At 43.6% G+C, this 21,987-nt stretch overlaps 1 protein-coding gene across 19 annotated transcripts in view, besides 1 other annotated feature; it reads left to right on the top strand.

Moving 5' to 3' along the window:
* The window catches only part of ERC2 (ELKS/RAB6-interacting/CAST family member 2), a 960,157-nt gene that overhangs the window by 866,171 nt on the left and 71,999 nt on the right, over positions 1–21,987 (top strand). The gene's annotated exons all lie outside the window — the stretch shown is intronic.
* Positions 21,088–21,300: a silencer, noted in NCBI's record as "fragment chr3:55615025-55615237 (GRCh37/hg19 assembly coordinates)". NCBI's record gives its function as "represses an EF-1alpha promoter that drives an FKBP-Casp9 reporter gene in an ReSE screen in K562 erythroleukemia cells {active_cell/tissue: K562}" and the evidence as "EXISTENCE:reporter gene assay evidence [ECO:0000049][PMID:32094911]".

Here is a 21,987-nt window from a genome sequence, read left to right as displayed (position 1 = left end):
TTCCCAGAGAACTGCCTTCTCTCACTGCCCTCTGGATCCAGAGGCATCTTTCACAGGTCTCACATGTCCTTCTGTCCAGGACGCAGTTTGACGGCAGATTCTTTGTTGTTTTCTCAGTCTCTCACACACTGACTTTGCACAGATCTGGCTCTTGAAAATTGTTGACAAAGGAAGGAAGAGATTTTGCAAATCTAAGTGCCCTCACAATGCTAAGGTTCAATTTCAGGAATGTGAAATAGAAGAGATACCTGATTCATTCATTTATCCATCCACCCATTCAGAAATAGTTATTGAGGACTTACTGTTTCACTGTGCAGCCAAAACACAAAGCCCGGCTCATGGGAAGTTCCCAGTGGATGCTGGTTATTAAAAAGGAAGTGGAGTACTTACTCTGGCATCTGGATCCCTTTGTGTTCCTGTCCGATGGACTTTTCCAGAGGCCCGAATATTTGTTTGTTTGTTGTTTGAGATAGGATCTGACTCACTGTGTAGCCCAGTCTAGAGTGCAGTGGTGTGAACATGGCTCACTGCAGCCTCGACCTCCTGTGTTCAAGGGATTCTCTTGCCTCAGCCTCCCAAAGTGCTTACAGACATAAACCACCGCACCCGGCTCCCCGGCTCTTTATCCTTCTCTTATTTAGGAGTGATAGTCCAGGCTACCAGCTCTGAATGTGTCTGCTTCTCTTCAGAGGGGCAGAGCTCTCCCATAGGCAGGAAGCACTTGTTTCCTGGACTCGTGGCATTTTACAGTGCCGAAGGACAGCTCGCTGGTTGTTTGCACACAACCAGTGTGAATGTGAAATGACAGGGAGCAGCTGAACTTCAGGGCAGTCTGAGTAGCTTTTTAAACAATTAACAAATTAATGAAGATAGTCATTTGGAGCACCTAGGTTTCTACTTGCTGAGAAAGGCCTGACCTGTTTCTGAGGAGGACTTTTTTGATTAAAATAAAAGGGCAATTTCTGTGGACATGAAGAATTTAAGCCTGGAGTCACATATGGAGCTTATAAGCCAGTTCTGCCTAGATGGCATTTTGTTTGGCTCAGAGTGTTCCAAAAACCGGAAAATATAATATACGATTCTGGCTTTCTGGGTTTTTGGAAAAAAACAGATGATCTGGTTATAGCGAGCTATATTCCCACGAGATTGCCCCAGCAATCTCCTTTGTCCAGCCAGCCCTCTCCAGTTTACTGGTCACCAATGTGGCCTTCCTCACATCTGCCTCACTTCCTTCGTTTGTGTTACCCCCAGCCCCCGTCCGCATGGTGTGCGAACCTGCTTTGGCACTGCAGAAGAGGGCCTGTGGCGAGCTTGCCATGGCCAGCAGCAGGTATTAATGATGCCCAGATTTGCCTCCCCAGCTCCTCATCCAGATGCCACATGGCAGGGCCAGTAGGAGCGACATCAGCAGCTCATCACCCAGGCTGCCAATAAGAACCACGTGGGTACTTGCCCAGGCACTGCATTAGGGATTCTGACTTAATGGCTCTAGGTGAGGCGCAGAGGCCGTGTCCACACAGACAACTTCCAAAGGCCTGCACTGAAGCTTGTGCAGAGCTCCCCTGCTCTCTGGGACAAGTGTTCTGCCCCCAACAGCACTCTTCTAGGCTTCTATTCCTCTTCCTGAATTGGTGTTGAGCATCACAAGCCACTGTCATATACTGGAATCAGTGAAGAGCACACATGTCAAAAGAGGCTTTTCAAAGGGGTATAATGCAAAAACCAGAAATAATGTCTTGATCTGAAAATCCAAATAAATCAACAAAAAATGGGACTTGAGTGGTGGGGAGAAGATGGCAGACGTGAATGTTTCCCCCATCTTCTGCACGATGACAGAGAGGTACTTCTATGGGTGGGTACTTCTTGAGGCCCATCTTGATGTGTGCTCTTAAAGACAGCCTGTTATTTTCTTTCCAGATCCTTATAGATTGTTTTTTCTTTACATCAACAAGTCAACAATTGTGCCAGATTATTTCTACTGCTTACCTCTTTTACATTTTTCTGGTAAGCCCTTTTAACCTGCCATATATGTGTTTCATTGCATTAATTTATTGCTCCCTTTCTTAGTTTTTGGTCTTTTTTTCTAGAGCATCTATTATCCTCAGGTTCTCACTATGTAATTCCCATATCTATCATGTTGTCCCTTACAGATTACATCTCTATATTCTGGGATAACTTCACAAGATTACAGCCTATTTTTCTGATGATATTTTCTAGAGCAGTGATTCAGCTCCTTGCTACTTCTAATGCTGGCTTTGATTCCATTACTGCATTTTTGCTGGGTGGTCAATTCCCTTCCATTTTCTGTCCTGTCTATAGTCTTCTGCCTCGGTGCCTCACATGAGCTTTTTCACTGATAGGAAACTGAGGCCCAGAGAGCGATATGATTTGTCAAAGGTTATGTTGTTAGTTCCTGGTGAAAATGAAAGTAGAACTTGGATCTTCTACCAGTCCAAGGCGTTATTCATCCACAAGACTCAATTTTAAAGATCAACCTTGAGGTGAAAATAAATAATTTGGTAGAAAAAATTGTCATTATCTTCAACCTGATCAAAATGTTACACATATTGAGCATGAATATTCCAACTGAGAATTTCTTACTATAGATGACTGTAGTCACTCTTCCTTTTCTATAGCATAGCACTATTGATTTAGTGCTGAAGTTTAAAAACTCCAGTTTAAAAGGAACAAGTTCTACATTTTCCATGACTTATCTCCTTATCTGTGGACTAAGGACCTTTGGGAGTCCTCAAATCTGCAAAAACACAAACACACACACATAATGAACCATGATCCAGAATAGAATGCCTCATAAATACATGTGTGATAATTTCTCTGGTGTGTGCATAGACACTATTATGAGTTCTAAAATTTAAAAACATTACTTAATTTAAATACATTAGCATTTCAGAACATTACTGAATTCCTAGTAGCTGTCGATCATCAGGTATCAAGTTGTCTTCTCTGTCTTCCTTTGCAGTCTCCATGCTTCATAGGATGTGTTGCAGGGGACGTGGAGGAGCAGAGTAGTGCTTACAGTCAGGAATCAGGCTCAGTCCATAGCAAGATGTGGCTGTAAGCAGGCAACGTGGCTTCCCAAGGTGTCAGGCTTCTTCTGGCACACAGGGGAGGTTATAGTTATTAGTCATTTATTCAACAGCCATTTATTTGAAGAGAAATAAAATTACACTTAGGTGGAGGAGTCTGCAAAAGTTTTTGATGTTTGAAGGGAGTCCTTGCCAAAATTGTACTGCTCCTGTCTTCCATGATAAATTTGAAGCCTACTTGTGCCCTTCTTCAAGTAGCTGCCAATCCAAGGGAAAATCTGTACTGCCTGATGGCTCTCACCAGTGGCTACAGTGTTGGGACAGATCTGGCAAGCAGATGTCTGTGGTGGAAACTTTCTATTCTAGCATAGCTCCTTCTGAGGAAGAAGGGTTAGGTCAAAGAAGAATGTTCCCCAGACAATCTGCCCCTTTGTTAATCAATGCTGTGATCTTGACTGCCCCTACAGCAGCCCCATCTTCCTGAAATCTTCGGTAAAAAGGCCATCCAACAAATACATCTGGCATTGGCCAGGATTTTTCTAGGTCCACTGTAACAGGGAGGAATGGATTTAATCAGATTCAAAGGAACATTAAGATTCATTCCATAACAGTGGTGCATCTCTGGAAGGGCTATGGAAGGCAGGTGATCAAAAACCAGTTTCTCGAGCAAAGCTTGCAAAGCAGTGCAAAAGAATCAAGTTGACTATGCAGGTGTCTGAAATGCTAGTGACATTTATCGAGCTCATTGGGACACATGTACTATGTTCAGTGCTTTAATGGAGTAATCTAATTAGTCTTCATAGCAGCCTGCATAGTCAGCACTAATGTTATGAGCATTTCATGGATGTGGAAACTTGAGAATTCAGCCATTAAGCAACTTGTCCAAGGTCACACAGTGATTCCTCCTTCTTTAACTATTGGGCTGATAATATGGCCACACAGCTGATTTTGAGTCAATGAACTATTATTTTCTTTGTTTCTTTAATTGGACAATGCAGTCCTTATGCAGACATGCAGTTATTATAAGAAATGATAATTTGAGTCAATTTTAATAGATTTGGCAAAAGCTAGTATCTATATAATAGTAACAGAAACACTGAATTTGCTGAAAAAGACATTTGCAAGTTGTCTTCTCTGTCCTTGCAGCCTCCACGCATAATAGGTTGTGTTGCAGGGGACATGGAGGCCATGTGGAGGAGCAGAGTAATGCTCGCAGTCAGAAATCAGGCTCTGTCGTTAGCAAGATGTGGCTGTAAGCAGGCGATGTGGCTTCCCAAGGTGTGGCTTCTTTTGGTGCATGGGGAAGGACATAGTTTAGTCATTTATTTACCGTCTATTATGTAAGTGGATATGATGACAAACTCACTAACTCTTACTGAGATTGTAACACAAGTAATCCTGATGTAATGTGATCTATTCTAGGGGCAAGGTCTATATCTCTATGAAGGGCTAGGGTCACTGTAGGGTGCCAAGTCAGGCTTTCATCAGCACATGTTCATTGATGCCTACTCTGTTCCAGGCTCCATTCCAGGAGCTAGATGTTGCAAATACATTATATTTCAAAGGGTGGGGCCAGGAAGGCAGTGAACTAGTAACAAATAGGATGACTTCAGAAACTAGTAAGTTGCATGAAGAAAAGTACAGTAGAGTTATTAAGGAGTCACTGGGAATGAGAAGAACTACCGGACTTAAGGTGACCCGAGAAGATTTTTCTGAGGAGGTAACACCAAGACAAGCCTCAGAAAATGAGGACTATTTTCTAGGCTGGGTGGAAACTGGGTGGATTGGCCTTGATGTGTAAGGTTCTAAAATCATTTTTTTTTTTTTTTTGAGTTGGAGTCTCACTCTGTCACCCAGGCTGGAGTGCAGTGGCGCGGTCTGGGCTCACTGCAAGCTCCACCTCCTGGGTTCATGCCGTTCTCCTGCCTCAGCCTCTCAAGTGGCTGGAACTATAGGCACCTGCCACCACACCCGGCTAATTTTTTGTATTTTTTGTAGAGATGGGGTTTCACCATGTTAGTCAGGATGGTCTCGATCTCCTGACCTCGTGATCCGCCCACCTCGGCCTCCCAAAGTGCTGGGATTACAGGCGTGAGCCACCGCGCCCGGCCAAATCATTCTTCTTTTAACACAGAAGTGCAGATATCAAGTACATAATAATGCTTCTTGTATTTTATTCAGATTTCTAAGTAACCAAGCACATGTTCAATTTTTTTATAAATATTTCATATGTACTTGAAGAGAATTCTCTCTTTGGGTGCATGTTCTTTGTATATTCTTTAGATGAAGCTTATAAGTTATCTAATAAATCTTCTAAATCTCTATTAATGTTTTAGCTGGTAACTGCTCAGTTTCTGAGAGATAAGCATTAAAATCCTCATAATCATTATGGATTCAGTCATTTTTTGTTTTCTCTCTATCTAGGATATACTTTTAATTGTATAAAATGTCATCATCTAATGTTATAGCTCCTGGTAGGTTGTTCTTATCTTTCATTAATAATCTTCTTCATCTGTACTAATGCTCTTGCCTTTACATTTCTGTTCCTGTGTGCAAGTGCATATTTCTTCCAACCTTTTATTTTTAGCCTTTGTGTGTCACTGGTCCATTTTCCATTTTAAAAGCAACATAAAACTAGATTTAATTTTTTTACTGACTTTATTTTATTTTCAGAGACAGGATCTTGCTCAATAACCCTGGCTGGAGTGCATGGCATAATCACAGCTCGCTGTAACCTTGAACTCCTGGGCTCAAGTGATCCTCTAACCTCAGCCTCCCAAGTTGCTGGGACCACAGGCATATGTCACCATGCCAAGCTAATTTTGTTTTCTGTAGAGATGGGGTCTCACTATGTTGCCCAGGCTGGTCTTGAACTCCTGGGCTCAAGCAATCCTCCTGCCTCTGCTTCCCAAAGTGCTGGGATTATAGATGTGAGCAATCACACCCAGCATCTCTGTCTTTTAATGGGTGAATTTAAGCTATTTGTATTTATTGTAACTAATCTATTTGGACCTACTCTTCTTATTTCGCATGTTCTCTTATTATGGTTCTTTTGTTCCCTTCTCCTTTTTTCCCCTCCTCTCCTTTAATGTCCTATTTGAATTGACTGTGCTTTCTTTATTTCTATTTTCCCCCTACTGGTTTGGGAGTTACATATTCTATTTCTCTGTTCTTAGTGGTTTTGATAGTATCTAAAGCACAATTTGGCAAGAACTCAGAAGCTTTTAATGGATCACCTTAGGTTAGTTTAAGGGCTTTCTCTAGTATCCTCACTCCCCAGTGGTTGGGTCTTTAATGGGGTGAGGTGTAAATGAAAGTGCAGAGCATGGTCACTATGATGATTGTATCTTGGAGTGTGGATTTCCAACTTTCATTTGCTAAGACCTACACTTTATTGCCTGAGGCTGCCTGGTAATTTATAAACTGCCATACTCTCATGGTTTATAGATAACATGGCGGCTTCCAAGCAAAGATCCACTTGGTTTCTTTAGTTGCCCTTCCCTTTGTCTGCATTTGAGCCCTTGTAAGTGATGATAAACATTAAATAGCTCCTGTAAAACTGTTGAATTGTCAGTTTTTAAACTGCATAAAACACTGACATTTTCATTAGATCCTGGCTCTGAGGAATGTCCGGCTTTCATCATAACAGATTTGTTTACTTCTGCAGAGAGCCTTAATGCGCTGCCTATGGGAGAAATCTTTCTGTCACCTGCTCTTAAATGGGAAAGTCTTTGTTCAGCCAAAGATTTTTGGAAAAGGATTTGTAAGAGGGATTTTACACCTCCCTCTCTCTCCCTGACCGTCTCCCAAAAGGGTAAGGGATGGGAATAGAATCTTTGAAGAGCTTTGGTACTGGACAGGAAAAATTTCAACCTAAAATAGTCCTGCAAAGTCCATTAGGAGACAGAATGCTGAGGAGAAGCTATTAAACCACTATTTAGTTTCAGTGTCTCCTGTTAAAGATAAGCAAGTCATATCAATGTCTTTTTTACCTCAATCTTTTGGTTGACATTTAAACAGATATCTTGATTTTGGATTAATAAACTCTCTTGTGTATATTAGTAGGGAACACATTTTAAACTGCTGGGTCCTTCTAAGCAAGTTAATGAACCTTTCTGAGTTTTGGTTTTCTCATCTATAAAACTGAAATTATAAACTGACTTTTCAGAGTTGATATGAACATGAAGAGAGAGAATATATATGAAGGGCTCAGCACAGAACCTGGTTCTTAGTAGGGGACCATTCAATGGCATTTGACAGTGATGATGAAGGTAGTGGTGGGAATTATGGTGGTGAAGATGAGGATGATTATGGTGGGGGGAGGGTAGTGGTAAGAGTGTTGATGGTGATGGTGATGAGGATAATGCTGGTGGTGGTGACAGTTGGGGTTTTGAAAAAGACTGAGAAAGGTTATCATGTAATCAAAGAACTCAAGAAGAAGCAGAGTTATCTGTAACTACCTGACTGGCCAGGCGCAGTGGCTCATGCCTGTAATCCTAGCACTTTAGGAGGCCAAGGTCAGTGGAACGCCTGAGGTAAGGAGTTTGAGACCAGCTCGGCCAAAATGGTAAAACCCCATCTCTACTAAAAATGCAAAAAATTAACCATGTGTGGTGGCACAATGCCTGTAGTCCCAGCTACTTGGGAGGCTGAGACAGGAGAATCACATGAACCCAGGGTGCGGAGGTTGCAGTGAGTCAAAATCGCGCCACTATACTCCATCCTGGGTGACAGATCAAGACTCCATCTCAAATAATAATAATAATAATAACAATAAAACTACCTGCTCTATAATCTCCCAGTTTCTATTTGGGCACTTTCAGCCACTAGGAGATTCTTTCTTAGCAAAATTCTGTTATAGGCAGCAAACCACAAAAGCCCAGTTCATTCAGGCAATTGTGTTTTCAGGCCTAGATTTGTCTTCTAAAAAGTTAAACAGTGTTATTCTGAGTCATGTAATCCTGTTGCCATCTATCTCCATCCTAAAGATACTTTAGGACACCGCACACTTTGATGTTCTTCTGTCTTTCCTTGAACATGTATCTGCCATCTCTTTACCAACTCTTCTTTCTGTAGTCATTTGCATATATAAGTAAGGAACTCAAAGAAGACAATACAGGAGGAAAAAAGGTGCCAACAGCAAGGGTGGGGAAAAATCTGAGTGTTGTGTCACAGAAGTAAAAGAGGGAGACAGTTCCAGGCACAGGAGGAAGGTCACTGCTTTGAGCATGAAAGTGAGGGTGAGGATGAAGAAGGCTGGGCAGGACCGTAACTTCTGGCACTGAAGGGTCAATGCTGGCATCTGACACAGTATCACTGTGATGGTAAAAGATGGAGAGTCGAGGAATACTTGAGAGAAGAAGGGGTGAAGGCCACAGACATGGAGGAATGAGAAAGAGGTGGCTCCAGAGTAGAAAGAGTTTTTAGACAGGGGAGAATGGGGCCTCTTTGTGGACCAAGAGGAGGGAGCCAGAAGAGGTTGAGTCTTCAGATACAAAAGCAAGAGGATTCAGATATTTGGCCCTGGAGGAAATGGGAGAAGTATAAGGAGGAATTCATTGGCCCATAAAAGTACCTGCCCCACCACCAAGTGGAAAAGTGGGGAGACAGGGATATTACTAGGGGAGGAAAGGTGTCATCAGTGAGGCACATGCTAAATGGACTTGACTTTCTCTTAAGGGAAAGTGAGATCTCTAATGAAAGTGAGAGATGTTTTGAAGACATAAGGAGCTTGGGAGAGAGTTTAACAAGAAGTACCATCTGAAATTGGAGAGGAAGTCAGCCAGAGATGATTAAAATACTTGCTAAGGGACACCATGAAGGAAAGAAGGTGTGTGTACATTGTTTCATCCTATTTTCATCCTGGGTCCTCCTCCTAGGATCTCCCTTATGCACCCTGGAATCCCATGGATGACCCTTCAGTGCTCCCACACCCCCATGGGACCTCCCTCTCCATCTCCATGTTCATCCCTGCTCTCAGATGGTTATCACATAGAAATGAACCAGTGGACTGATTTGCACCAAGGCAAGGATGATGCTAAAACACAGTGTCTTCTCCCACCCTAACATTAGTGTGACAGGTAGTTGGATGAAAGCAGCGCTGGATCAGGAGTCAAGGGCCTAGCGTGTAGTCCCAAGTCTAGTTAGTTAACCTATCATTGTGCTCTCACAGCACAACATGGCATATCTTTCTTGCTTGCCATTGTAGCACCAGCATATTGCTCAGTTCTGGCACACAATAGGTGCTCATAGAATTTATTTGAATGAGTGAATAGAAGGACATAGGAAAAAAATTTCAAGCACCCTGTCATCCTATGCAAATGTAAAGCACTGTTATACCTATGTGCATTTTAACGGGTACAGTAGTTAAGCAAATGACTCTCTAAGAATAGAATATCAGCTACCAAAGGTGGGTAGGTGAAGGGAGATACTTTCAGCAGATCTGCGTGGGGGCTTTCTGCTGTTTTAACTACCTAGAGCTGCTGTGATTTAACTACGTAGGTGTCTACACGTATTTGGTTTGGCTTTTAGATAAATGAGCTCCTTTCCCTTCAGTAATCTGATCCAAGGATCCAAGATGATTTAGTCATTTCTCATTCCAGCTGTTGAAAAAAATACACTTCGTCATTGTAGACAAGAAGCTGAGGACCTGGCAAGACAAAGAGAGATGAAAAACAGGTTCCAGATAAAGAAGCAGAGCCTCCTTCTCACCTTTTTCTACCCTCTCCTCCCTTCCATCCCCTCCTGAATGAGGTCTTTGCCTTTCCCCATGACTCTACCAGCATGGAGAAATCGATTGTCAGCCAAATCCCAAAAGAATGAAAGAAAAATACCTTCCCAGAAGGAGAGGGCAGAGGGGAGAGATACAAGCATCAGTAAAGGCTGAAGGGATTGGCCTAGAAAGGGTGGAATCCAAAAGGGTGTTTATTTTCAAAACAGAAGCTTACCGATCAGGTACTTTTCAACAGATGAGAAAAATGGAATGAATGAGCAAAGCTTGTGCCCAGATACGGGGATATGCCCACAGCGGCCCCAGCCACTGAGTTAGCAAGAGCTGCTTTTGTTATTGCTCTGGAGGCAGACTTTGAGGAAGCCGGATTCGTTCATGAGCAACCAGAGGCTCAAGGAAGGCTGAGTCTGGCCCAGTCACCCTTCCTAGTCACGTAGAATCCTAAGTTCCTCCCCTGCCTACACACTGAAACAGCCCCAGAATCCTCACCAGCCATTCCTTGGCATCTTTTCAAGCACTACTCTTTTCTACAAATGCTCTAGAAAAAGGCCTTAGAGACAGGGAAGTAGCTTTTCTTCAGAAGCTATGTGTCAGCATTAAACATACATAACTGGATTCAGAATTGCCTCTGCTATGTATATGCTGTGTGACCTTCCCCAACGGGGTTACCTACTCTGAGCCTCATTTTCCTCATTGGTGAAATGGGAAAAATAGAATGTACCTCACAGGATAGAAGAAGGACAAGAATAATGGGGATGGGGTGCCTGATGGCAAAGAAAAGGAGTTCAGTGATTGGCAGTGAACCTGGCTGGGGAGACCCCCGGGACCCACTCAAGACTTGTGCTTATTTTTCCTCATTGCGGATGTTTGGTTTTGGCCTTGGTCAGCTGCTGCTTTGGTCAAAACCACACGCGCGCGCACACACACACACACACACACACACACGCACACAAACTTCTGAGGGGTCATTCTCCTCGTAAATAGCTCCTGGCCTGCTTGAATAACAACATCTTCCAAGCCCTGCCTTCGCCCTGGGTCTCAGTGTCCGCATGTGGAAAACAAAATGTGTGACTCAGTTTTCATTCATTTAAACTAGTTGAGGGGTTCCATTCCACCCATAATGTCCAAGGATTCTCTATGCTTGCTGTACCCCAGACTTCACTTCCCAGTCACAGTGCTGGGTCCCACAAAGGTGGAGACATGAGGTTTTACGTGACAGAAGGCAATCCTAAGAGAAGAGACAAAAGACAAAAATGAGAAAAACACTTCTCACGATTTCCCAGCTGCTCTACAACAAGCATATGCTTTCAAAATTTGTTTAAAAAAAAAAAAAAAGCTAAAAGACACAAGTGAAAATCAACCATAATTCTACCCCTTAAAGTTATGGAGATATGGCTGGGCACGGTGGCTCACACCTGTAATCCTAGCACTTTGGGAGGCCAAGGTGGGTGGACCACGAGGTCAGGAGTTCGAGACCAGCCTGGCCAACGTGGTGAAACCCCATCTCTACTAAAAATACAAAAATTAGCTGGACGTGGTGGCGGGTGCATATAATCCCAGCTACTCAGGAAGCTGAGGCATGAGAATCGCTTGAACCCGGGAGGCAGAGGCAGCAGTGAGCTGAGATAGCACCATTGCACTCCAGCCTGGGCAAGAGAGCAAGACTCTGTCTCAAAGAAAAAAAAATGTTATAGAGCTATAAAAGAGGACATTAATGTCCTCCACAACCTGTCTTGGCAGTTTGATTACAACACCAGATGCTACCATTGTGGACAATTTGGTATATGTCTTTCCCAATGTTTTCCTGAGTTTAAAACACACATCCACATTTACATGCATAAGTGCATATGCAATTTTTACAGAATTGTGGTGGGCAATTTTCATTGTTGGATCATTGCAGTTGGCTTGATACTGTATCAAGTTCCTCCTTTCAGGTCAGTTCGTGTAGTTTTACCTCTGGTCTCTAATGCAGCATCCATTCTATGGAAAAATCATATTTATTCAGTTATGTCCTTTTGATGGGCATTAGGTTGATTCCAGTATTTTTTAAGAAGGCTGCAGTGAACATCATTTATGTTTCACTGTACATTCTGGTGCTTTTATTTCTGCAGAATCAATTCCCAGAAGGACAACTTCTGAGTCAGAGGATGTGCTCTTTTTAGATGTTAATGAAGACTTCCAAATTTGTTTCTATGATGTTTGAAAGCACCTTATGCACCCACCAACGGGATGAGAGAGCTCCTGTTTCCCTATAACCTCGCCAAATTTGGATATCATCAGTCTTTATGTTTTTCCCAATGTGCCACACAGGGCACGATCTCACGCTTTTTACTTTTTACTTCACTTAGATTTCGCTTATTTTCATTTGTTCATTGGCCATCGTTATCCTACAATTGCCCACTTGTATCCTTGGTTTATTTTTTTGAGTGACGTTGCCACCTTCAAAAAAATGTATTGTCTTATTTTTATAATTAGTTTTTTATAAAAGAATATACATGATTTTTTAAAAGGTTTTTTTTGAGAATGTGAGACTTTTGAAGGCTGCAGGGAGGAGAAGGTTTTCATGGATGGGACACTGGGGAGTGAAAGGCAGTAATAATCCTTCAGTGTGCTGCACAGGGCCTTCTCTTTCACACACATTTTTGCCCCCATGTGCTCCTCAGTGCAGCCCTGGGAGGTCAGCTGAGCTCCAAATGCCTTCCTGGTGGAAGTCAGAACTTCACCTTGCCCCTGACTAATGAGGCTTGCCTCTTGGGCTTGACCTGAGAATCATGAGCCCTGTCTCCTGCTGGGACTTTTGCCTGACAACTCTTCCTGCCCTCCCCTCACTGCCCCTCCCATGCCTCTGTCCACGAGTTCTGCTTTTCCTGGAGGCTGGGAATTCACGTATAAGCTCCTTCAGGAATCCAGTGCCACCCCAAGGACTCCTCATGGAGGCCTCAGGTGGTGGTGGTTTTTATCCTTACTAATAGAATATCAGTTACCATTTATTGAGTATTTACTATGTGCAAGGCCAGTACTCATGGTTATGCAAGTTGTCCACTGCACAGCTCCAGCAGGCAACATTCCCCGTGTAGTCATGGTAGATGTGCGGAATTATTTCTGCCAAATGACCGTCACGTGTCTTGAAGAAGGGTGCCTTTTTCCAATTCTCACAGAGTCACCATCACAGTAAGCTGCTCGTTTGCGCACCAACCACTGGGCTGAGTGCTCTAAGCACATGGTTTTTAAAATCCTTAGAATAGCCAGCTGAAGTTGATGATTTTACCTCCTTCTCTCTCTCTCTTTTTTTTTTTTTTTTTTTGGTAGTGACTGGGTTTCACTGTGTTGCCCAGGCTGGTCTCAAACTCCTGGCTCAAGCAATCCTCCTGCCTTGGCCTCCCAAAGCGCTAGGATGACAGGTGTGAGCCACTGCATCCAGCCTTACCTCCTCTATAGCCAAGGAAACTGAGTCTCAAGTTAGTCACTTGCCCACGTTACACAGCTAATAAGTGAATTCAAACTCAGGTCCGGCTGACTCCAAAGCCTGTGTTTAATGCTTGCCCTACCCTCCCTCTGTATTGGAATATGGTTACCCCCAAAATGGTCCTCCGAAATGCCCCAAGCCATGATTATCGGCCTTCCTCGAGTGTTCCCACACACTCGAGGCAGGCTGGTGTAGCCAGTGTGCAGGATTGCTGTAGCTGGTGTGAACTTGAACTCAAACTAAAAACTGAAGCATTGGAGCCCAGATCCAGTCAAGCGCCATCTTATCAGCATCTCTGGATCCCTTTGTGGGAAGGAAGGGGGAGCCCCACTTTTGTGATGTGCTGTAATCCTGAGTCAGGGTTTTCTGGTCTCTGTCTCGGGATCAGTTTTCTTCGATCACACTCAGAGGTTAGGTAACTAACACAGAGGTGCTAAGAGTGAGAGCCAATGTTTCCCATCTTCTGACTGTGGTGCTGATGGATGGGGCACAGGTGAGAGGGTTTTTCTGGAATTGATTCATCAGGCCGAGGGGGATTTCCCTCTCACTCTCTGCTTTCACTTCTAAGGTTCGTGTGTCTTTTTAACATTCCTTCGGCTTACCGGGGCCTAAGTGGAAAGTTGTCTTTAGGATCCCTTTGTTCTGATTCAGTTGCCGACGCTTTATGATGTTGTTCCTTCTCTTGGAAAAATGCTCCAAATGGCTCGTGTAACTGATGCACTCCACATCACCCTGATTGACAGTGGGGAGGCCCTGGTTGGAAGGAGGGGTTGGGGCTGGAAGGAGGGGTTGGGGACTGTGAACATCATTACTTCTGGGCTCTGAAAGCCAGCATGCCTGCCCTTGATGCCACCCAGCTGGGAGCCTTCAGCTGGTTTCTTGGGGAAATCCAACCAGGAAACGACCCTGATGTTTGCACTAGCCACAAGTTGGGAGGAAGGAGGCAGGCTCTGGGTTCAGCCTAGGGATGTATACCCAATTTTTAGGCACTTGGATAACTTTATTTTACTTATGGCTTCAACTCATGTGTCTGGTCAATGAAAAAGGCTGTTTTGCGTTTGGAAGGCAATAGGCAATGATATTTATTTTTTAAGAGCTCTGCCACAGCTGGTTACCATTACCATCCCACCACTGGCTGTCAGGTTGACCCTGTGTAAGTGGCTTCCCTTCTCCAAGCCTCTTACCCCTGGCTGTGAAATGGGTTTGATAAGGCCTGGTTTAAAAGGTCATTACTAGGATTAAGTGGGATAGTACATGTGAATAGCTTAGTCCAAGGTTTGGCACACAAAAACCGCTGAATAGTATTATCACCAGCTCAGCAGGCAAGGCAGAAAATACTCTACACGGCACAGAAAGTGCATTGCCCTCACTCTACTGGTGTGGATTTCACAACCACTTTGGAGAGTAATTCTGCAGTAAGTAGGCAAGTTTAAATTAAACATTCACTATGACATAGCAATATGACCTTTAAGTGTATACCCTAGGGAAATGCTTGGGTGAGGCACAAGAAGATATGTGCCATTAGGGTTATTAAAGCTTTGTAATTGCAAAACAAAAAAGGATACAATACAAATATTCATTGATAGACGTTCTGGTATGTTTATGCAATAGGATATTTCACAGCATGAAAATGCACTCTGCATTAATGCACCTACATTAACATAGATAAATTGCAAAAACATAATGTTGGATGAAAGAAGCAGGCTGGGTGCAGTGACACTAAAAATACAAAATTAGCCAAGCATGGTGATGTGTGCTTGTAATCTCAGGTACTCGGGAGGCTGAGGCAGGAGAATCGCTTGAACCTGAGAGGCAGAGGTTGCAGTGAGCCGAGATCGTGCCATTGCACTTCAGCCTGGGCAACAAGAGCAAAACGAAAGAAAGAAAGAAAGAAAAGAAAAAGGAAGGAAGGAGAGGAAGGGGAAGGGGCAAGTTATATAATGATACATGCAGTATGATAACATTTGTTTAAAATTTTAAAACTTGCAAATTTGTACTACATTTATTAGTGAATGAATACATAGAGTACAACAGCATTAAATGTATGTTCCCTAACTTCAGTTTAGTGTTTACTTCAGGACTAGGGGAGGGAATAGAATGAAAACAGGGATGAGTGGGAGGAAGATTTCAATTATATTTCTTTTTTGTTCATAGAAAAAAATTTTGAGGAAAATATGGCAAAATGTTGAGATTGATTTTACTGGATGGTGGCTACATAAGTGTTTTAAATTTTGTTTTCAATTTTGTTCTCCATATTTGAAATATTTCAGAATAAAAATTTTTAATAAATGAAATTAAATTGCCTCATGCAGAGAAAGAATAATAAGATGATATAAATACTCCTTTCAAGGCATTTGCATTTTCTTTCCTACGGTAAGAGGAGAGGGGGTTAAGGAGCTTTGTGTTATGTCACAAATGTGAAAATGTTTGGATCATTAGATTTTTAAGTTAAAAGGCTAGTTTTAAAAATATGATTCTTCTTTAAAAGAACAGTTGGAAATGACAGTTATTTTAAATGTTCTTATCAAAAGAAATTAATAATGGCTAAATAGGTCACCAACTCGATGACTAGTTTAGATTGCGTTCTTATGTTTGTGAATTTAGAATGGGGAAATATCCGGTAAGATGCTTTCAGTCATAGTGGCATTTCTGCTATCATAGTCAAATAGACTAATATAAAGTTACACTAAACTATTTTCCCAAAGTAATATGGGAGTTATGAATAGGATTTTCTAAGCATCATGGCTGGGATCTGCCTTTGTGCTGGCCTAAGGTGGTTTGAAGTTGGCATTGAAAGTGAAGGCAAAGACTCACAGTCCGAGGGCCACCTCTCTTTGGGAAAATACAACCCCCTCTTGGTTTCTCCGTGGTCCTTTCCCCAACCCTCTGCAGTCCCCACTCCCTCCCCACCCCGCCAGTCACCTCAGGTGCACCAGTGTGCCTCCAAGTCAGGCCTATGGGGGCCTCTGTGTGAACCAGGAGGAAGCCCCCGGGGCTCCCAGGCTCTTCTCCAGGAAGCCCTGCTCTCAAACGCTGCCCTTTCCAGAGCTTCCTGGAGCCTTCCCTCCTGTGGCTGCAGGCTAAGGGAAGAAAGGATTTTCTTTACTTTATTTCAGTCTGGTTTTTTGATTTTCGTTCTGCGGTTCTGCTCTGCCTCGCTTTGTTTATCAGCATCAAAGCCGAAACCAGCTGTGTTTGTTTGTGGATCTTTCATTTCCATGAAACCTGCAGCTTTTTCTAGGTCACTCTGTGTTCTTAATAATCAAAAAGGTAGTTCACATGGCTGCAAAGGAAGGACTGGGGTCAAAAAATCCTCAAACCCACGGAGCCCCTTCGGTAGCCTTACCCTTGGCCTGGATGACTGGGAATAACAATTACATGATTTTGTTATCTTCCAGGGTCCCCCCAAAGAGCTCTCTCTAACAGGGGTAATTCAAATAGAAATCTTGCTTGTTTTTGAGCCACACCCTATGCAAAAGACTTTATTTTAAACATCTAGAACCCCAACAGTTATAGAGAGGGGAAGAGAGGGGATGTTGGGAGATTTTTCTATAACTGATTAACTGGACTGTTAGTTGGATTATTATGGAACCAGCAGCCACTTGAGGTCACAACTGACAGGTTGCTTATTGGGGGGAACATTTGTTTGAATGAAGCTCCAGTTCAGCGGTGGTAAATCTAGCCATTTAATGGGCCACTTGATGTCCAAGGGCAATTACTGGTATAAAAACCCTGAGCCCTAAAACAGGAGAAACAGGAGACCAGATGGAGGCCCCTTTAGAGATTTAGTCCTAAATCTGTTAACCCATCTTGCAAAGTGCTGCCTAGTTGACAGCACAAACAGCTGTGGAGGCCAAACCGGGTGCTATTTGTCTTAGATCAGGCCAGAGAATCTGGACCGAATGGATGGCACTGTTTGAATTTTACGGTAAACCGAGGAATGCTAATCACTGAATCTTAGGGACCACAGCGGAAGCAGCAGCCTGCCCGAAAGAGCCTCGCTTCCTCCTGAGCTTCTCCCCACCAAATGGATTGACATACATCAGGCTCCCGAAACAGCAAAGACAAGACCGTATTTGGATTTGTAACTCCCCGGGTATTTTGCAGGCAGGTCTGGTTCTCGTTGTCCATTGACTCTGAGATAAAATCAGGGCCTCTGCTTAGCTTGAGACAAGCCATGCGCTTGGATATCTTCCTTCTTGGGGCGGGAATGCCCAAGTACTACATGGTGGATTGCAATTTGCTGGTGGTGCTCCCCTGTCAATCTTCTCAGTTCGGGAGGTGCCACTCTCTGTCTTATGTTATCCTTGCCCACACACATCTTTCTCTCCCCACCGTATTTGGTGTGCTCCTGAAACAAGGCAGCCTCAGCAGGGAGATGTGGGTTATGGCTGCTTCCACCCATGAGGGTTTACGTGGCATATGCAGGTGAGAAAGGGAGGAGTCTCTGGCCTCTCCAAGCAGAGTTCCCCAATGCCTCACCATCTCCACACTAAATAGGGTAAGTGGGAAGGTAGGAGAGGTGTGATTATAGAACCTCATCTAAGTGGAAATTCTGCCAGGGAAACTGCCTTTCCTCTGAGTCTCGGCGAGGCAAGGGTAGAGGAAGGAACTGAGCCCAGAACACCTGGCATGGACAACTAGTAGTCATAGCAGCCATTGTTGAATGAACATTGATGTAAACCAGGCGTGGCTCTAAGGACTGCATGCCTGTTAATACTTTAAGTCCTTATTAAAGCTCCAGGAGGTAGGAGCTGTTATTGAACCCATTTTGCAGATGGGAAAACTGAGTCTGCAAGGGAAAGTACCTTGCCCAAGAAGGGGCAGGCCCAGGCTTCAAATCCAGGGCATCTGGCTCCAGGGCCTAAGCTCTTCACCAATAGGCTTCCCTGTGGGGGTCCCTGAGGCTACATTACTGCTAAGAATAGTAACAGTGGTCATCGACTGAGTGTGTTCCTTGTGCCAGGTACTATTCAACAAGCACTTTCCATGTGTTAGCTCTTTTAACGATGAATCAACTCTGAGCTTATTACCGTTTTATGTGTAAGAAAACTGAGGCTTGAGTGACTTAACCAGAATCACATAATAAGTGAAGAAGCCAAAATTCTATCCCAGAAAGTCTTGGGAGCTTGACTCCTAACCCTGTACCTGTTTTGGGAGGGGGGCTAGCAAGTTGGCATGTGGTTGGACTTGCTGGCAAAGGTACTTTCTAAGCCCTCTGCTGCCCTTTGAAGCCTGCAATGGGAAAAGCAACTCAGTGAGCTCTCGGATACTTGGGAAGAGGGATTTTCCCATTACAGACGTGGCTGGTTCCATCACCTATACTGAGCAGATCCCCCAGCTTCCACAAGCCCATGTCATCTTATACCAGCCTAGCACTAACCATAGTTGCTAGCATAGACTTGTACTCAGTAAATTAATAGGGAAGCTGATACCGTCCAGTGCATCCTTGCCTTTCTAGGAAGGAAGGAAGGAAGGAAGGAAGGAAGGAAGGAAGGAAGGAAGGAAGAAAGGAAGGAAGGAAGGAAGGGAGGGAGGGAGGGAGGGAGGGAGGGAAGGAGAGAGGGATGGAGGGGAGGGAGGAAGGGAGAGAGGGGAAGGAGGGAGGGAGGAAGGAAGGAAGGAAGGAAGGAAGGAAGGAAGGAAGGAAGGAAAGAAGGAAGGAAAGAAAGAAGGAAAGAAGGCAGGCAGGCAGGCAGGCAGGCAGGCAGACAGGCAGGCAAGCTTCCACACTGGAAACCAGCCAGTAGCTAACAGATGCCTGACTTTACATTGTGATTTCTTTAGATTGATATTCACTAATGCACAGAACCCAAAGGCCATCTTTTGGTGGGTAAGAATGTGACATTTTGCTTTGACTCTGAAGAGTCTGGGTAGCTCGAGTAAATGATCCAAGTCCCCTCTCTTTGGCTTAGCTGGTCCACAGAGCATAACAATTGGTGTTACCACTGTAAGGATGATACAATAATGGCATGAGTACATTAACTAATTAGTACTTACTATGTTTAGTTTCTGTGCTAAGCAGCCAATATTTTTGCAATAAACCTTTATTAGTCCCACTTTGTCAGATGAGAAAACTGAGACTAACAAAGGTTAAGTAACCTGCATAAAGTCACTTATCTGGCAAGAATTGTGTCATTATTCAGACTCAGGGCTTCCTCTCCAAAGCCCCGTATTCTTCACCACCATGCAGTACATTGAGTTGATCATGTGCTGAGATACTGAGGCTCAGAAATGCTAGATGACCTGCCAAGACTTCTCAGCTATTTGTAATAATGTCAGGATTTGAACTCAGGCTACTTCTTATATGATCCTGTCTGTTTTAACAATCCTTTCAAAGACAGAGTTTACTCCTTTAGGCAAGGGAGGGCTCTGGTCAGAGCCCTGCAGAAGAAAAACAGTATGAAGTTGTGAAGACTGATATGATACAAAGGCAGTCGGTAGTCTGAGCTTGCTTACAAACTAATTTGAAATAGGAATCAATTAGCTGTGCAAAATTCAGCCATTGAGATAGATCATTCATTTAAAAAAGAAGATTCCACTTCAAAATATTGATAGCCAACTTCTGGATATAACTGCTCATGAGAACAAGCAGTTGCAGAGTGTGGTAGACCACTTCATAGATACTTGACACTGTTTGAGGAGGAGAGCAGGTCGGTGTCCAGAAGTTGCCACTCTGAGAAGAATAACTGATCAGTGCATCCATCCATCTATCCAACTATAAATACCTATTGTATTGAGTACCTACTTGGAGCAGGGATCTGTGTCAAGGGAGAGAGGCCCTCACAGAGGTTAAATTCTAGCAGAGAAAGCTTCTGTGAAACCAGAGTTCACAATAAACTCTGATGGGGTATGATAGAGTACATGCAGGATGTTACTGGGGCCCATGATCTAGTCTAGCCACGAGGAATTGCTTCCTATGGGACATGTTGTTTTAGCTGAGACCTGAGCAATGTGTGAGAGTTAGCTACAGGAAAAGTGAAGAGTGTTCCAGACAGGGGGAACAGCTTGTACAGAGGCCAGGAGGTTGATGAGAGCCTGTGTATAACTGCAGGACTGGATAAAGCCCAGGCCAGTTGGAATGTGGGGAGGGGACAGCATGCATGTATATTTCAAAGTTCTTGGGTATTGATTACAAATGATCGGCCTCATGACTCTAGATGAAGACTCATGTGTTATGAGCTGGTTATACTCTCCCTGATGGCAGAGTTCTCCCCAGGGGTCATCTGCTAACCCACCTGTCCTGGAAGAGAAGTGAGAACAGAGGTTGCTCCATGCGAAGTCAATGGTTCTTCATTTTGGAAGAGGTCATGGAAATTTCTGAGAAGCTCTGGACCCTTTTCCCAAGAAAAAGCATGTGGCACATTTGAAACGTTGCATATCATTTCAAGAGGTTCACAGGCACCTCTTGAAGCTTGTCCATGAATTGGAGGTATAAGGACCACTGGTTGGAAACCTTGGCTTCTTTCCCTTTCACCAGAGGAGCACCATTTCCACCTGGAAATAGTGCTGGCCACAAATGGTGAATTCCCTCTCCATAAACCCTGCCACTCTTACCTGTGCATGCAGACTTCTCCCTACACATCTAAAGACCTCACCTCTGGGTAACTCCCCTGAGTTAATCAGCCATCAGTGTAATTACTGTACCATACTCTTAAAAAATCTGCACAGTATATAAACTCACCTTGAGGGATGACCCCCAGATGTCTCACCTTTTTTCCCCATGGGCCAGGCTAAATGGTATTATTGCATGGGTATTTTCAGACACATGGTTTTCTTTCCCCCTTACTTTCCTTTTTAAAGGAAGTGGCGATGGGAGACTTAGGACTTAAGCATTTGAAAAGAGAAAGATTGATAATACCATAGTACCTTTGTTTCCCCTCTGAGATGCTCATCCTAAAACTGACTCCTTCAAGGGCCAACCAAATCAGTGAGAGTCACCCAGCACTGCCCCCTAGTTAGAGGAGCACATTTGGGCTCCTGAAACAGGCCAGGCACCTCCTGCCTCAAGGCCTCTGCACTGGCTTTTCTTGCTGCCTGGAATTCTCTTCCCTCAGATAACTACTTGGCTCACTCCCTCACCTCATTCAAGCCTTCGTTCAAGTATTATCTGCTCAATGAGACCTCATCTAACCACCCTATTTAAAAATAGCCCCCATCCCTTTCCCTGGTTTGTTTAGACCTTTATCATCATCTAGAATACTATGTATTTCAATGTCAATTTTGTTTAGAACCCCATGTAGGCAAGCACATAGGCTGTTGTGTTCTCTGTGCCCAGAAAAGTTATTGGCACACATGAGTCATATTCAATATGTATTTAATGAATTAACAAACCAATAATGTTCCCAGATGGGTTTGAAAAAGATAAGCATCTCTAGGACCATGTGTATATATGAAGTCAATCCAGACACTTACCTTCCAAACTCAAGCATCACACAAGCCCAGAGAAATGAGAATATCACACTTACCAAGCCCTTGGGTTCTGCTCTAGCCAGCACCCTTATGAAAGCAATTAGCACCTGTGATTTGGAGAAATGATTTCAGGGCTCTTGTGGGAGTTGGTAACAACTTGAGGACCCCTGATCCAGGCAGTGATTTCCAAAGGAAATGCATTTGGTCTCTCTTGGTCCCATCCTCTGTCTTTTCTTCCAGAGTTTCCTGACATTGAAAAGACATTTGTATTTTTGTGGCTGAAATAGGTTTCTTGCCCTCAAGATTTTCGCAAAGTGGTAGCCTTTATTCTT

The sequence above is a fragment of the Homo sapiens genome, chromosome 3 (genome assembly GCF_000001405.40).
Source record: "Homo sapiens chromosome 3, GRCh38.p14 Primary Assembly".
In the NCBI taxonomy this organism is placed as follows: domain Eukaryota; kingdom Metazoa; phylum Chordata; class Mammalia; order Primates; family Hominidae; genus Homo; species Homo sapiens.
Note: the sequence above shows the minus strand (reverse complement) of the source record. Positions and strands in the feature narration are given on the sequence as shown.